Source organism: Homo sapiens, chromosome 14, assembly GCF_000001405.40.
Source record: "Homo sapiens chromosome 14, GRCh38.p14 Primary Assembly".
Lineage (NCBI taxonomy): Eukaryota > Metazoa > Chordata > Mammalia > Primates > Hominidae > Homo > Homo sapiens.
This window is the reverse complement of record NC_000014.9, coordinates 22,969,862-22,984,244: the sequence shown is the minus strand read 5'-3', so window position 1 is coordinate 22,984,244 and position 14,383 is coordinate 22,969,862. Positions and strand designations below refer to the sequence as shown.

The following is a 14,383-nucleotide window of genomic DNA, read 5'->3' as shown; positions in this document are numbered from 1 at the left end:
TGCACGCCACCACACCGGCTAATTTTTGTATTCTTAGTAGAGACGGGGTTTCACCATACTGGCCAGGCTGGTTGCAAACTCCTGACCTCGTGATCCCGCCGCCTCTGCCTTCCAAAGTGCTGGGATTACAGGCGTGAGCCACCGCTCCCGGCCGTTGGCTGGTATTTAATTAGGTATGTTTAGCTTCATCTAGGGTTTCTTTAAAAAAAATTATTATTTATTTTTGAGAATTTTTTTGAGACGGAGTCTTGCTCTGTCGCCCAGGCTGGAGTGCAGTGGCCGTGATATTGGCTCACTGCAACCTCTGTCTCCCGGGTTCAAGCGATTCTCCCGCCTCAGCCTCTCGAGTGGCTGGGACTATAGGCGTGCGCCACCACGCCTGGCTAATTTTTGTATTTTTAGTAGAGATAGGGCTTCACCATGTTGGCCAGGCTGGTCTGAACTCTTGACTTCAAGTGATCCGCCCGCCTCAGCCTCCCAAAGTGGTGGGATTACAGGCGTGAGCCACCGCGCCCGGCTGCTTCAGCCAGGGTTTCTTTTCCTTATTCTTGATCCTTTTAAAATAGTCAATATCAGCCTCTTTTCCATCCTGATCATTTTCATTTGCAATTTCCTCTACACGGCATTTCTTTTCTTCCTCTTAATACTTACTCTGTATCACCAGTCTTCTGTGGACCAAAACCAAAGGGAGAAGGTGTTCGCTAGCCCTAAAACCAGGCCTTCGATCTCCACAGTCACCTGAAATGAGAAAAATCTCATTTCCCAACACCAGGGGGTGTCTATCCCTCTAACTGTCCTACCCTTAAGGTAGAGATTAGTCCCAAACCTTTTCCTCACTCCTTTTCACTGCTTCTACATACACACTATATCTCTTTCCCTCCCTCTCAAAGTAGAGATTAGTCCCATTTTCCTGACTCCTTTTCACTGCTTTTACAAATCACAAAACTTTTGGGTCCAGAAGGTGGTGCCTTTTTATTGCAGTTTATCTGTTTGTCTCTCATTCTCTCTGGACAAGCTTGTCCTTTCCTTTGTCTGCGCACCCTTCGGTCTCTGCATCGTCCACACTCCTCTTTGCTCCTCAGCTCTCCCTTTCTTTCGCTACCTCTTCCCTCTTCCACCTCTCTCTGTGGGCTTCGTCGCCTTTCAGGGCTATCTTTACGTACACGTCTCTGAACCTCTTTATGCATTTGTCTTCTTTCTCTCTGTCTTCCTCTTTATGGCTCTCTCCTTGTCTCACCATTTCTGTACCAGTCTCTCTCCATCTCTCCCACAGTCCCCACGCTGGGAACAAAGTCACGGTGCTAGCGCAGAACATGCCTCCTGTCGTCCGGTCCCGGGACGCGACACATTCCACCATGCCCCTCCGCGCATTCCAACTGCAGACAAAGAGTCCCCGTCCCCTACCCCCACACTCTTTCCTATTCCAATTCTTCAGTGTTGTAGGGGCAGCTGCCCCAACTGCCCCTGCCCGCCTCTCACGTCCAGTCCGCGGGTCTCCACATCCAGGGCAGTTAGCGCCTTCCGCTGCACGCACACCAGCTATCCCTGCGCGGACACCCCCGGCGCTCTCGCACACACCGCGCTCCGCCCCCCTAGGAAAGTAGATCCGGCCAGGCAGACAAAAGTTTGGGAGAGAAGTTCGGTCTGTGGCTAGCGTGAGAGCTAGGGGGGCGGGGGCCGGGGAGAGTGGGGCAGTCGGGCGAGTCGACGCGTGAACAGATAGACCTGCGGACTGGACAGCCGCGGCCAGAGACCCTGCTAGCCCCGCTCAGCCCCAGATGCGCGGGGGGACGCAGCCCCTCCCGCTGGGGGATGCTGTGGGATTCCTGGCGCAGGGCATCCAGGCCGCCCGCTAAGCCCCTGTGCCTCCCCTGTGCCCCTGGGGAACCAGAGTCCGGCTGCAGGGAAAGAGAACCGGCCGCCGAGACGCCGCAGGGTGCCAGGCGGGGAGGGGGCGAGAGGCCCCAGGCCCGAGGGCATGGAGCGGTTAGGAGAGAAAGCCAGTCGCCTGCTGGAGAAGTTCGGCCGCAGAAAGGGTGAATCTAGCCGGTCTGGGTCTGACGGGACCCCCGGGCCGGGCAAGGGGCGCCTAAGTGGGTTGGGGGGACCTAGGAAGTCAGGGCCCCGAGGAGCTACTGGGGGACCTGGGGATGAGCCGTTGGAGCCGGCCCGGGAGCAAGGTTCCCTGGACGCTGAGCGAAATCAGCGCGGCTCCTTTGAGGCGCCGCGCTACGAAGGCTCTTTTCCCGCGGGGCCGCCGCCCACCCGGGCCTTGCCTCTACCTCAGTCGTTGCCCCCCGATTTTCGGCTGGAGCCCACGGCCCCGGCCCTCAGCCCCCGCTCTAGCTTCGCCAGTAGCTCGGCCAGCGACGCGAGCAAGCCGTCCAGCCCCCGGGGCAGCCTGCTGCTGGACGGGGCGGGGGCTGGCGGAGCTGGAGGTAGCCGGCCCTGCAGCAATCGCACCAGCGGCATCAGCATGGGCTACGACCAGCGCCACGGGAGCCCCTTGCCAGCGGGGCCGTGCCTGTTTGGCCCACCCCTGGCCGGAGCACCGGCAGGCTATTCTCCCGGAGGGGTCCCGTCCGCCTACCCGGAGCTCCACGCCGCCCTGGACCGATTGTACGCTCAGCGGCCCGCGGGGTTCGGCTGCCAGGAAAGCCGCCACTCGTATCCCCCGGCCCTGGGCAGCCCTGGAGCTCTAGCCGGGGCCGGAGTGGGAGCGGCGGGGCCCTTGGAGAGACGGGGGGCGCAACCCGGACGACACTCTGTGACCGGCTACGGGGACTGCGCCGTGGGCGCCCGGTACCAGGACGAGCTAACAGCTTTGCTTCGCCTGACGGTGGGCACCGGTGGGCGAGAAGCCGGAGCCCGCGGAGAACCCTCGGGGATTGAGCCGTCGGGTCTGGAGGAGCCACCAGGTCCTTTCGTTCCGGAGGCCGCCCGGGCCCGGATGCGGGAGCCAGAGGCCAGGGAGGACTACTTCGGTGAGTGAGAGAAGTGGTTAGGGACGGGAAGGGACCCGTCACGGTATTCGGTTCTCCACTGCCCCGACGGCCCAAAGTGCCGGTGCCCCGGGGTCCGAGGTGAAGACGCGGGACTAGGAAAGAAGCAAGAGGGATGGATGGGGGCGGCCCCAGAGCACTGTCCCCTTCCTGCTAGTTTTCAGATGAACCAGGGCTCCTTATTTCTGCTAAATTCAACCCCCCTGGTATCTCGTGAGTCCGTTTCTCAAGCATTTGAACCTCGGTTTTTTGCGGCAGGAGGCCTCGTAGGGAAGGGACCAAGTGGGGCAGTGAAGGCGCATCCCCCCCAACTTGCTCCCCCCTTTCACGGCGGTGCCCCTGGAGGTTTGTGCGCGCCGCGCCCCCACCCGGGCCCAGGCTCCGCCCGCAGGAATTCGGAGAATGCGCGGGTGGGGGGGCGGGGCAGGCTGGCCGCGTGCGTGCCGACTCCTGCCCGGGCGCTCCAGGTGCCCGCGGGCGGGGCGGCTGCCGCCGCGCGGCGGAGGGGTGGGGTTCGGGGATCGGGGGACGCTCCCTAGCATACGCGGAGTAGTGGCGGCTGTCGGGGAAATGGAGCCTGGGAGACAGGATGGAGCGCCCTGGGACCCAACTGCTGTCCCTCCCCAGTCCTGTTGGCTAGGTGCGTGCGTGGGCATTTAATCAGAGACCCAGTAGTACCAGCTTCTATTTTCCCCATCCTCCGGAAGTCAGGGTAAAAGTCATGACTACTGGGACACCATTACCTCTGGATGGATAACGACCCTGTGTTATTGCCAGAAATAACTTGGCCTTGAATTCTGCTTATAACCTCTCAGAATTCAGGCCAGAAGTAGCGCCTTACTTCCTGACACTGTTAAGGAAACCTGGTCGCTGTCTCCCTCCCCTACTCTGTTCAGGAAGTATTGATTGATTATATGTCTCAGCTATGAGGAACATTAGGGTCTTGAAAGATCTTTTAGTCAAAATTCACAGGCACTGCTACACACATAAAAAACTTCGAATCTGATTGTGATTGGAAAGAAGTGGCAGGCTTACCGCCTAAGGGCTGTGGGCCTCTTTCACTTTTCTAAGCATCTCTTCTTACCACTCATGCCCCACTCCTGGACCCCATGCTGTAGAACTCTATGGCTAGAAAAGTGAATAGGAAGAGGAACGCGGCCAGGGAGGGATGGTTGGGTAGGAGGTTCAGAGGTAGCAGGGCGGCAGGCTATAAGGGCATAACTCAACCCCCAGCCTCCACCCCCATTCTTTTCCCCACCTCCAAATCCACCGAGAGGAAAGCCCAGAGGAGATGATGCCAAACCGCTTTGATCAAGGAAGACTGAATGACAGGGCCCATTTAGCAGTTTCATTTTGAGGCCCAGGAGAGGTGGCTAGTAAAGAAGTCTTTTTGGCTGAACCATCAGAGCCAAAAGGAAGAAAGGAACTCAGAGAAACTGCAATAAAATGGCAGGAAGAACATAGGTATAGATATGCTGGGTTAGAGGAGGTGAGGCCAACGTGCCTGAGCAGTTTCGTTTGCTTTTCCCATAACGTCCAAGGTTTCCTAAAGAATGGCTCCGACAGGACCCCCTGGCATGGCAATCTTGGGGCAGATCTTCACTTCCATGAGGAAGCCACATTTTGAATTCAGAGATGGGGGCCCCTTCTCCTTGGGAGTCAGGTTGCCTCCTTTGACAGAACCCCTACATACCCCTTGTGCCGCTAGCCCCAGCTTGACTGTACCCTCCTCCTGCCCCTAGTAGGGGCCCTCTTCCTTGGCTTCAGCCTTGCCCAGCTGCCAGAGGGTGGGAGCAGGACAGGCCTGGGCCCATCAGTTGCTGCAGCTGCTGCACAGGCTCCCAAGCCCCTGGGCAAAGACTGGGATGGGCCCCAACAGGCAGGGAGTGTGGCAGCGTGCCGAGGGGGAGAGGTGGGGCAGGCCCGTTGGGATCTGCTCCCCAAAGACAGGCCCTAGCCCTCACTCATGGGCCTGGAATTGGGGAGTGGAGGGAGGGAAGAACACACCCAGGAAAGGCAAGTCCCAGAGCCAGGTGTATATATCTTAGTGGGGGATTTTGGGGAATAGCAAGCAGTTCAGTTCTGTATTCTTCCCATGATAGAAGGTGACTAGGAGGCATCAGGGGCTCTGCTACTCTCCCTGCTTTCCTGTTCAACCCTGGTTCCTGGAACACACCCTGCATTCTCAGCAGCCACCTCCCCACAGGAATCATGCTCACATGGTCCCCTCTGCACGGAGCCCTCTGCCAAGCCAGATCCTTTTCTCCATCCTTGGAAGTCTGCAGTGGAGAGAAATCATTCTATAACTGAACAGCTCGTTTGACTGATGGGAAACTGAAGTCCCAGAGACGATTTCTGGGCCTAGCCTGCTTTCTCTAGAAAGTATTTTCAAGTCTGCTGCTGAGCACCTGTGGACTGGCATCTTTGACCGTTCATCCTACACACTGCAACAGAGATCATACCTTGCCTGTGTAGTCTTTTCTCCCCAACAGAAACTAAGCATCTGAATGCCAGGGACCATATCTTCGACTTTCTCCAGGTTTCCTTAGGTAGTGGTGCTGTGTTAAGCACAAAACAGATGCTCAGAAAATATCTGTTGAGTAATTAAATAAACAAGAATGGATCTGCTCAGCCAAGATCTTGCTGCATCTCATTACTCGTTATCTTCTCTACTCAGAAGGGAGCCCATCAAAGGGAGACTGTGACCCCTGGCACATCAGGAAAGGGCAGTCAGGAAAGCTTGGGAATCCCTGGTTTTGACCTGGGGGAGTAGAGTGTGACACTTTTCTCTTCTCAGGCACCTGTATCAAGTGCAACAAAGGCATCTATGGGCAGAGCAATGCCTGCCAGGCCCTGGACAGCCTCTACCACACCCAGTGCTTTGTTTGCTGCTCTTGTGGTGAGTGTAGCCCCAATACTCAAGCACTCCCCTCCCCTGCCCACATACACACTTACAAGTGCTATGGGGAACAGGAGGAGAGCTTGTGCCTCTTCATTTGCTCACAGAGCAGCTGTTGGATCCCCACCAAGTGTCTGGAGGTCCGCAGCTGCTCTGCCTCTCTTGCTTCCCTGTCTGTCCTCTACTTGGCTCTCCCTCCGCCTGGTGGGTCCCCTTTCTGGAGTCCCTCCTTCCTTCCTCACCTCTGTTTCTCCCTCTCGTGCTTCCCTGCTTGCCCATCCTGGACTTGCCTGGCCCTCCAGCTTCTTGGTGGGGCTTGGTCTTGGGCAGCCAAGTTGCCTGGGGCGACAGTGAAAGACTGGAATGTGGGGAGGGTGGGGGCAGGCTGGGGGAGTGGGGAGCTGTTTGGGGCGGAGAGGGGGGTTTTCTCTTGGCTGGTCAGAGTTCAGCCACCTCACTGGAGTGCAGGCCACCGGGCCATGCCAAGCTGATGACATCACGCTCCAGGAATGCCTGCCACTGTTAGCTCAGGAGGCCCACTTGGAAAGGGGGGATGCTCCCAGCGGCCTTAACTGCCCCCCTCCCCTCCCTCATTACCCCCTCCTTACTGCTTACCCATTCTGATTCCTTTGCTAAACCTTTAATCTCCTATCTCTGCCTGTCTGACTTCAGCACTCAGCTTTTCTCACTCCCCCAGTTTCTGCCTGGTTCTCTTTAGGCTCATCTGTCTGTCTATCCTTCTGTTTACAGGGCCTCTTCTGGCTATATCTCTTTCCCTATCTTTCCTCCCCTGTGTCTCATGAGCTTCTAAGTCAGCTTTCCTAACCCACTGGACAGAGTTGGAAGTAGGGATTTTGAGGGGAAGAAGGCAAAGGTGGGAAAATTGCTCATGCTCCACCTGTTCTCACTCCTTCCCTATCCCTGATAATGTAGACACCTGGGAGCAGTTCCTGGGGGTTGGTCACATGGGGAATTGTCCTGCCTTGTCTGCTGGAAGAAGATCCTGGGTTGTCTCTTACCCCAGTGACTCTGGGTCCCTCTAAGCTTAGGGAAGCAGCCTTATACAAACAGGAGAGGGGACCTGCTTTGCTTCCAAACAAAGCACTTTGTCCTTCTGCAGTAACTCCAGTCCTGACCTCCATGGAGTCTGTCCCTGGAAGGAGACAGGCATTTGAGAGCAGGATAGATATGCTCAGGCAAAGAGGCTTCTAGGTTGAAGGGTCCCAGAGGGAAAGGCCTGTTAACAATGTGGTTCTCTCTATGCAAATCATATAGCACCTTATTAAGAGCTCACGTATTCCAGCACGTAGTTGGCTTTACTCTCCCAGGTGGCTTCCTATGCACTGGAGAGGAAGGCAGTTTGTTTAGGGGAGGGGCCCTAGAAAACTGTTAAGGAGGCAGGAGCTGGAGGAGCAGCAAGCAGAGGAGAGGGGAAGTTGGCTGGAATGAAGCCAAAGCAAATTGGAATTGCATCAGATGGAATTTTTGTGCGGGGAAGGACAGACAGCAGTTAGGAGGAAAAGCACAAAGTCCAGGTTTAAATATATTATGCAGCAGCGGGGAGCAGTGACCCCAGAAGTCTTGCACCTGGGCTGTGGGATAGGTTCCAGCCCCTTCTCTATTGTTTCTAGGGCGAACTTTGCGTTGCAAGGCTTTCTACAGTGTCAATGGCTCTGTGTACTGTGAGGAAGATTATCTGGTGAGTAAGGGTCACCTGGACCTGGAATTGGTTTCCATACTGACCCCCTTCTTGGTGGCCCATTGGAGTACCACCCATCATTCTCAGTTTGATAACAGCCTCCGTTCGTCTTGTCTTTTACTTTAGTTTTCAGGGTTTCAGGAGGCAGCTGAGAAATGCTGTGTCTGTGGTCACTTGATTTTGGAGAAGGTAAGTAAAGTGCTTTCAGCTGAGAAGTCTCACTGTGAGGCTGAGGAGCGGGATCAGGGACTAAATGGATATTGAGAGAAGGTTGGGGAAAGAAGCCTGTCACCAGATGAATCACTTTCATCCCATTCCTCCCCAGAGCAACTGTTTACAGTGGCTTCCCTCTGCCTATGGGATCAAGTCTGGGCTCAAAAGCCTGTCAACCCAGGCTTCTATGACCTAGCCCCTCCCTAACTCTGCAGGCACAGCCAGGCCTTCCAGCCTGAGCTAGGAGTGTGGGGTCCTGAGTCTTTTTTTTTTTTTTTTTTTTGAGACAGAGTCTCGCTCTGACAAAGTGGAATGATCTCGGCTCACTGCAACCTCCGCCTCCCAGGTTCAAGTGATTCTAGTGCCTCAGCCTCCCAAGTAGCTAGGACTACAGGCATGCGCCACCATGCCTGGCTAATTTTTGTATGTTTAGTAGATAAAAGGTTTTGCCATGTTGGCCAGGCTGGTCTCGAATTCCTGGCCTCAAGTGATCCTCCTGCCTCAGCCTCCCAAAGTGCTAGATTATAGGCGTGAGCCACCATGCCCAGCCTGGGGTCCTGAGTCGTCTTCTTTTTTTTTTTTTTGAGATGGAGTCTCACTCTGTTGCCCAGGCTGGAGTCCAGTGGTGCGATCTCGGCTTACTGCAAGCTCCGCCTCCTGGTTCACGCCATTCTCCTGCCTAGCTGGGACTACAGGCGCCCGCCACATGCCCGGCTAATTTTTTGGTGTGTTTTTAGTAGAGACGGGGTTTCACTGTGTTAGCCAGTATGGTCTCGATCTCCTGACCTTGTGATCCGCCCACCTCGGCCTCCCAAAGTGCTGGGATTACAGGCGTAAGCCGCCGCGCCCGGCCAGTCCTGAGTCTTAATCCCCTTTCTGCTACTGGTTAGAATCACTTGGGACTCAGTTTTCTTTTCTGTAAAAACAAAAGATAGGATTAAATCAGTGATTCTCAATCATGGTAGCCTAGCAGATCAGCTGGGAAGAACTAAAAAACAAAACAAAACAAAAAACAGTGTTTGGATCCCATCACCACAGATTGTGATAATAGGCCTGGAGGAGGGCCAAAGCATTGATGTTTTTTAAAAGCTGCCTAGGTGATCCTGATATGCAGCCAGAGTGAAACACTGCTGGCCTGAATGCTCTCTCAGGCACTTTTCAGGGTCTCCGCCTCCATTTTACGACTTCTTCACCGACATTACATAGCATTGTTCTGGGAGTATAGCAGCGGGTTGGATGAGGTTAATGGGAGTAATAAGGAGCATAATGGGCAGCTGGAGAGCTGGGACTGGAGGGAGACTGATTCTCTTGCTACCCCATGAGCCAGATCCTACAAGCAATGGGGAAGTCCTATCATCCAGGCTGTTTCCGATGCATTGTTTGCAACAAGTGCCTGGATGGCATCCCCTTCACAGTGGACTTCTCCAACCAAGTATACTGTGTCACCGACTACCACAAGTGAGTCTGCCCCTTGGGATGCAGTGTGGAACTGGGTCCAGGGATTCCCCAGCCTCAGCTCATCTCTTCCCTCTCTCTTTCAGAAATTATGCTCCTAAGTGTGCAGCCTGTGGCCAACCCATCCTCCCCTCTGAGGTCAGTATGTCTGGGTTCTCCTTCAGGGCAGCCAGTGCCACTGCCTTTGGGGAGGGGATAGGGACATGCTGCCTGGCCTCCTGCCAGAAGTGGTAGTGCCAAGGAATGTACTCTGTGAAGATTCCCGTGTGACTCTGCCTCTTGGGGTCACCACCCTGACCCTAATATCCGGGCCTGGACATGTCTGAAAGCCTAACTGGGCCCAGGCTCCATCTCTTCTATCCCAGTCCAGAGGAGGAGACTTTCTTTGAGGTCGAGGTCACCAGACTGCAGATGTAGGGGCTGGAAAAAGGTGGGAAGAATCCTCAGCACTGGTAGGAAGGGGTCAGAAATGATTTAAGCTGAGTGTAGGGGATGTGCCTATGGAGAGAAACCAAAAGCCAGTGAGGACCAGATCTTATTGGATCCCCTTGTTCCCAGCCTAGCCTACTTTATTTAGGCCTCCTGTCCCCTTCCCTTCCCTTTGCTTCCTGCACAACTGAGAGACGCAGGTAAGGCCAGGGCTGTTGTACAGAGGGAGTGTGCTCCATGGGTGCAGCCCAGTGAAGGAGATGAGAGTTCTGGTAGGATTTGCAGAAGCATCTTAAAACTACAGGTGATTGCAGAGAGACTCTGGGGGCATTTGTATGATCTTCCCATGGGGTGGGAAGGGTTGTATATGAGGGAAAGGTGGAGGTGAGGCAACATGCTGCTCTCATCTCCATGGGGGTCTGCATGTTTCAGGGCTGTGAGGACATCGTGAGGGTGATATCCATGGACCGGGATTATCACTTTGAGTGCTACCACTGTGAGGTGAGTGTTGGGGTTCAGCGGTGCTGGAGAAGAAGTGGAAATGGGGAGAGGGGAGGAGTCAAGTCCTGCAACAACCAGACATCTATGGGAGAGGTGTAGGGCATGGGAAACCAGAAAGATATTGTGACCTATCTTCAGTCTCTTTTTTGTCCTCCAGCCACTCTCTCTGGTCCAAGTAGCTTAGTCCTTTCTGAATCTGACTCTCCCAGAGTCAGGACTTTCTAAGACTAGGGACTCTGGTCAAACTTCTTGAAAGACAGGCTTGTGTCATTATTTCTGCTGCAGCAGTGACACCTGGTGTCCAGCTGAGGTATTAGTATTTTCTCAGATTGCTCTTCCATCCCTTCCATCCTTCCCTTCCCACCCCATCCCTTTCTTCCAGTTATTAGGAGTCAGGTGTTGAGCAGGGCAGACTCCTAAGATACCCTCAGTGTCCAAGGTGCCTAGGCTGAGGTGAACTAGGTGCCTTCTTCCCTAGGACTGCCGGATGCAGCTGAGTGATGAGGAAGGCTGCTGCTGTTTCCCTCTGGATGGGCACTTGCTCTGCCATGGTTGCCACATGCAGCGGCTCAATGCCCGACAACCCCCTGCCAACTATATCTGAGCTGCAATCACTGCTGCTGCTGTCACCCTGCAGACAAACTGCTGTGGCCAGTGGGCCCCTCTGAGGCCAGCCAAGGCAAAGAATGCACTCTGCAGGCCTGGCAGAAGAGTCCTCTGGGGAGGACCCCAAGGGCCGGAGACCCAAAGATCATGATATTCCAAATGGATTGTGGAAGAGAAACCTTATATTTACCAGGGTGGGGGCGACTGGCCTTTTTCCCATGTGTGCAGTCTGAGCTTAGGCACACACAGGAGGGTTCCAGGACTTTCTGAACATCTGATTCTGTATCTTCAGTATATATATTTTGTTTGTTTTAGAGATGGGATCTCACCATGTTGCCCAGGCTAGTCTTGAACTCCTGGGCTCGAATGATCCTCCCACCTTGGCCTCCCAAAGTGCTGGGATTATAGGCGTAAGCCACTGTGTCTGGCCTAGTGTATGATTATGCATGAGTCACGCAATGTTCTGGTCCTGGATTCCAGGAGTAGAGGACCTAGCTTTAAATCAATTAGTTTCAGCTAAACTGACTAGAACCAAATCAAAGTGTAATTCTCCCTCCAGCTCCCCCAAACCCCAGAGTTTTGGGGTTGTGGTTGATGCAGTGTGGGATGTCCCTGAGAGGTAGCAAGTCTAGGGTGGTGAGTTCCTGCTAGGCAACCAAATTTAAGCTCCTCACTTTTTGTGACACATGGTGTCAGATATGGGGTCCCGCACCTATATCTGGATGAAGAGGTAGAAACTCTGGACCTCATTAATGAGTTATTTCTTGGCCTTCTTCTAAGGACTAGGAGAGCTCCTTATCTGTCTGAGAATGGGGACCAGCTCTGAGTGGGGTTGCTGCCTGTATTCCCTGTTTCTCAGGAACTTACATGGGTCTGGGGAGGCTAGGTAGGTGATTGTACGTGGTTGCTCTTCTCCTTGGCTGGGGGAGGTAATGAGCAGATCTCTGTGGGTGTGGAGCTTGTTGGGGGGATGTCTAGGAAGCTTCAGCTTAGCCACATTCCCAAGTTTAGGTGCACTGAGCCATATAGCCCAGTGTATGCATGTGTGGGTGTGTTCATGCACACACACACTCTCTCTCTTGTCTCTCTGTCTCTCTCTCACTCTTTCTTACTCTCTTCTCAGGTCACTTGTACACTTGGTTTCCTAGTAGAAGCTCACTTGCCACCTCTCAGAGGGGTCCCGGATTGCATCCATCACAATCCCAAAACTAGAGTTGGGGGGAACTGGAGGGAGCAAAACACTGATTTGATACTAGTCAGTTTGCTTGAAACTAGTTCACCTAAAGCTAGATCTCTTAAAACCAATTTACTGAAAACTTGTTTGCTTAAAGTTAATGACTTAATGACTAATTTGCCAAAAGCTCAATTCCTATTTTGGTGTGTTTATATCCATTTAGGTGTCCTATTCTTTTTTGTCATGCTTTGGATATTTCAAGGATTTATATCTATTCATCCAAGAGTACTTCTGAGCTATTATCAGCAACATAAATTTATCAAATTTGCAGCACTTTGTAAATGATGAGATTGCTTCCTACCTTTATGGATGTCTTTTTCTATGTTATCTACCATTCAAAAACTTTTTTAAAAAGTTTAAAGTTTCTAGCAATAAATACAATTGGTACAGACATTTTGTGTATCATTTTTTTGTTTCTTAATCCAATATTCCTTTACAAATTAAATGCCTTGAAAAATATAATGGAGTTCAATGTGATTTTGATGCTTTGGTCTAACTTCTACATTCCTACTGTTAAAAAGGCCAGTATATCTTAAACAAATGAATAGGCATGAGGCATATTCAGTTGACTTACAATGAAAAGTTATACAGACAACAGTAATAACTAAAAGGGTGAATCTGCTAAATCCTTTTGAAATGCTGCAGATTTGATAAATATTTATTTTAGACTAATTGGTTTTAGGTGAATTGGTTTTAGGCAAATTAATTTAGTAATCTTTGATCTTTAGTCTTCATTTTCTGTCACTCAGTGAGTTTCTTACTGGAAATGATGACTCCTGACAACAGAATTTCCACATTTGGGGGCTATTCTAAGGTGACTATGCCAGCCAACCTGGGAAATACATAAAAGAGATCTCTGAGTGAGAGGGAAAGAGGTCAGATTTATACAACTGAGCGCCAGAGGGGAAAATGCACCTTGTTGGAGTGAGAAATGTTCTGAAACTGAATTACTTCTTGTACAGCTGAGATAGCTTCTTCTGAACTATTATTAAATAAGTGAATACAAAGGCCCTATGATGGGAAATCCAGACAAGCTTGTGTAACTTTACATCCATCCCCTCAGGGATATTTTTTTTTTTTTTTTTTTTTTTGAGACAGAGTCTCACTCTGTCGCCCAGGCTGGAGTGCAGTGGCGCTATCTCGGCTCACTGCAAGCTCCGCCTCCCGGATTCACACCATTCTCCTGCCTCAGCCTCCCAAGTAGCTGGGACTACAGGCGCCCGCCACCACACCCGGCTAATTTTTGTATTTTTAGTAGAGACGGGGTTTCACTGTGTTAGCCAGGCTGGTCTCGATCTCCTGACCTTGTGATCTGCCTGTCTCGGCCTCCCAAAGTGCTGGGATTACAGGCATGAGCCACTGTGCCCGGCTCTCAGGGTTTTTTTTTTTGACAGAATCTCGCTCTCTTGCCCAGGCTGAAGTGCAATGGTGCAATCTCAGCTCACTGCAACCTCCGTCTCCTGGGTTCAAGTGATTCTCCTGCCTCAGCCTCCTGAGTAGCTGGGATTATAGGCCGGCGCCACCACACCTGGCTAATTTTTGTATTTTTAGTAGAGACAGGGTTTTGCCATGTTGGCCAGGGTGATCTCAAACTCCTGACCTCAGGTAATCCGCCTGCCTTGGCCTCCCAAAGTGCTGGGATTACAGTTGTCAGCCACTGAGCCCTGCCTCTTTTTTTTTTTTTTTTTTTTAAGAGTTGGGAGTCTTGCCCAGGCACAGTGGCTCACCCCTGTAATCCCAGCACTTTGGGAGGCTGAGGTGGGAGGATCATGAGGTCAGGAGATCAAGACCATCCTGGCCAACATGATGAAACCTCGTCTCTACTAACAATAAAAAAATTAGCCAGGCATGGTGGGGTGCACCTGTAGTCCCAGCTACTTGGGAGGCTGAGGCAGGAGAATCGCTTGAACCCGGGAGGCGGAGATTGCAGTTAGCCATCGCGCCACTGCACTCCAGCCTGGGCAACAGAGCAAGACTCCATCTCAAAAAGAAAAAAAAAGGCCAGGTGCGGTGGCTCACACCTGTAATCCCAGTACTTTGGGAGGCCGTGGCAGGCAGATCACGAGGTCAGGAGATTGAGACCATCCTGGCTAACACGGTGAAACCCCGTCTCTACTAAAAGTACAAAAAATTAGCCAGGCGTGGTGGTGGGCTCCTGTAGTCCCAGCTACTCGGGAGGCTGAGGCAGGAGAATGGCGTGAACCCGAGAGGCAGAGGTTGCAGTGAGCTGAGATCATGCCAGTGCACTCCAGCCTCGGCAACAGAGCAAGCCTCCATCTCAAAAAAAAAAAAAAAAAAAAAGAGTTGGGAGTCTCACTCTGTCACCCAGGCTGGAGTGCAGTGGC

At 52.7% G+C, this 14,383-nt stretch overlaps 1 protein-coding gene and 1 long non-coding RNA gene across 4 annotated transcripts, besides 4 other annotated features; one reads left to right on the top strand and one right to left on the bottom strand.

Annotated features, from left to right (window-relative positions):
• Positions 714 to 1,679: an enhancer, noted in NCBI's record as "H3K27ac-H3K4me1 hESC enhancer chr14:23451775-23452740 (GRCh37/hg19 assembly coordinates)". NCBI's record gives its function as "activates a minimal SCP1, AML or CMV promoter by ChIP-STARR-seq in naive H9 embryonic stem cells {active_cell/tissue: H9 hESC(naive)}" and the evidence as "EXISTENCE:reporter gene assay evidence [ECO:0000049][PMID:30033119]".
• Positions 1,680 to 2,645: an enhancer, noted in NCBI's record as "H3K27ac hESC enhancer chr14:23450809-23451774 (GRCh37/hg19 assembly coordinates)". NCBI's record gives its function as "activates a minimal SCP1, AML or CMV promoter by ChIP-STARR-seq in naive H9 embryonic stem cells {active_cell/tissue: H9 hESC(naive)}" and the evidence as "EXISTENCE:reporter gene assay evidence [ECO:0000049][PMID:30033119]".
• On the top strand, positions 1,694 to 13,068 carry AJUBA (ajuba LIM protein). Of its 3 annotated transcripts, NM_032876.6 has the most exons (8): positions 1,694 to 2,984; positions 5,800 to 5,901; positions 7,533 to 7,600; positions 7,727 to 7,789; positions 9,141 to 9,271; positions 9,355 to 9,406; positions 10,130 to 10,198; positions 10,677 to 13,068. In NM_032876.6, the coding sequence occupies exons 1-8, from the start codon at positions 1,979 to 1,981 to the stop codon at positions 10,800 to 10,802; spliced, it is 1,617 nt and encodes a 538-aa protein (NP_116265.1). In that variant the 5' UTR covers positions 1,694 to 1,978; the 3' UTR covers positions 10,803 to 13,068. The 3 variants fall into 3 exon arrangements, with proteins under 3 accessions (NP_116265.1, NP_001276026.1, NP_932352.1); NM_198086.3 differs by lacking the exons at positions 1,694 to 2,984; positions 5,800 to 5,901 and having other exon boundaries at positions 7,403 to 7,600; NM_001289097.2 differs by lacking the exons at positions 5,800 to 5,901; positions 7,533 to 7,600; positions 7,727 to 7,789; ... (2 more) ...; positions 10,130 to 10,198; positions 10,677 to 13,068 and adding an exon at positions 5,209 to 5,638.
• LOC124903287 (uncharacterized) lies at positions 5,024 to 6,418 on the bottom strand. The gene is made up of 2 exons (XR_007064076.1): positions 6,144 to 6,418; positions 5,024 to 5,595 (listed from the first exon to the last, which is right to left on the bottom strand). It is a non-coding gene; the product is annotated as an uncharacterized LOC124903287 (long non-coding RNA).
• Positions 6,251 to 6,545: an enhancer, noted in NCBI's record as "tiled region #809; HepG2 Activating DNase unmatched - State 25:Art". NCBI's record gives its function as "activates a minimal TATA promoter and a strong SV40 promoter by Sharpr-MPRA in HepG2 cells {active_cell/tissue: HepG2}" and the evidence as "EXISTENCE:reporter gene assay evidence [ECO:0000049][PMID:27701403]".
• Positions 8,847 to 9,347: an enhancer, noted in NCBI's record as "H3K27ac hESC enhancer chr14:23444107-23444607 (GRCh37/hg19 assembly coordinates)". NCBI's record gives its function as "activates a minimal SCP1, AML or CMV promoter by ChIP-STARR-seq in naive H9 embryonic stem cells {active_cell/tissue: H9 hESC(naive)}" and the evidence as "EXISTENCE:reporter gene assay evidence [ECO:0000049][PMID:30033119]".
• Positions 13,069 to 14,383: the final 1,315 nt, after the last annotated feature.

Bases quoted from the DNA above. Each gene is read 5' to 3' on its own strand.
- AJUBA (NM_032876.6), top strand. From the start codon at position 1,979: ATGGAGCGGTTAGGAGAGAAAGCCAGTCGCCTGCTGGAGAAGTTCGGC. The intron at 2,985-5,799 runs GTGAGTGAGAGA...TTCTCTTCTCAG, and splicing joins GGCCAGGGAGGACTACTTCG to GCACCTGTATCAAGTGCAAC. The intron at 7,790-9,140 runs GTAAGTAAAGTG...CCCATGAGCCAG, and splicing joins GTCACTTGATTTTGGAGAAG to ATCCTACAAGCAATGGGGAA.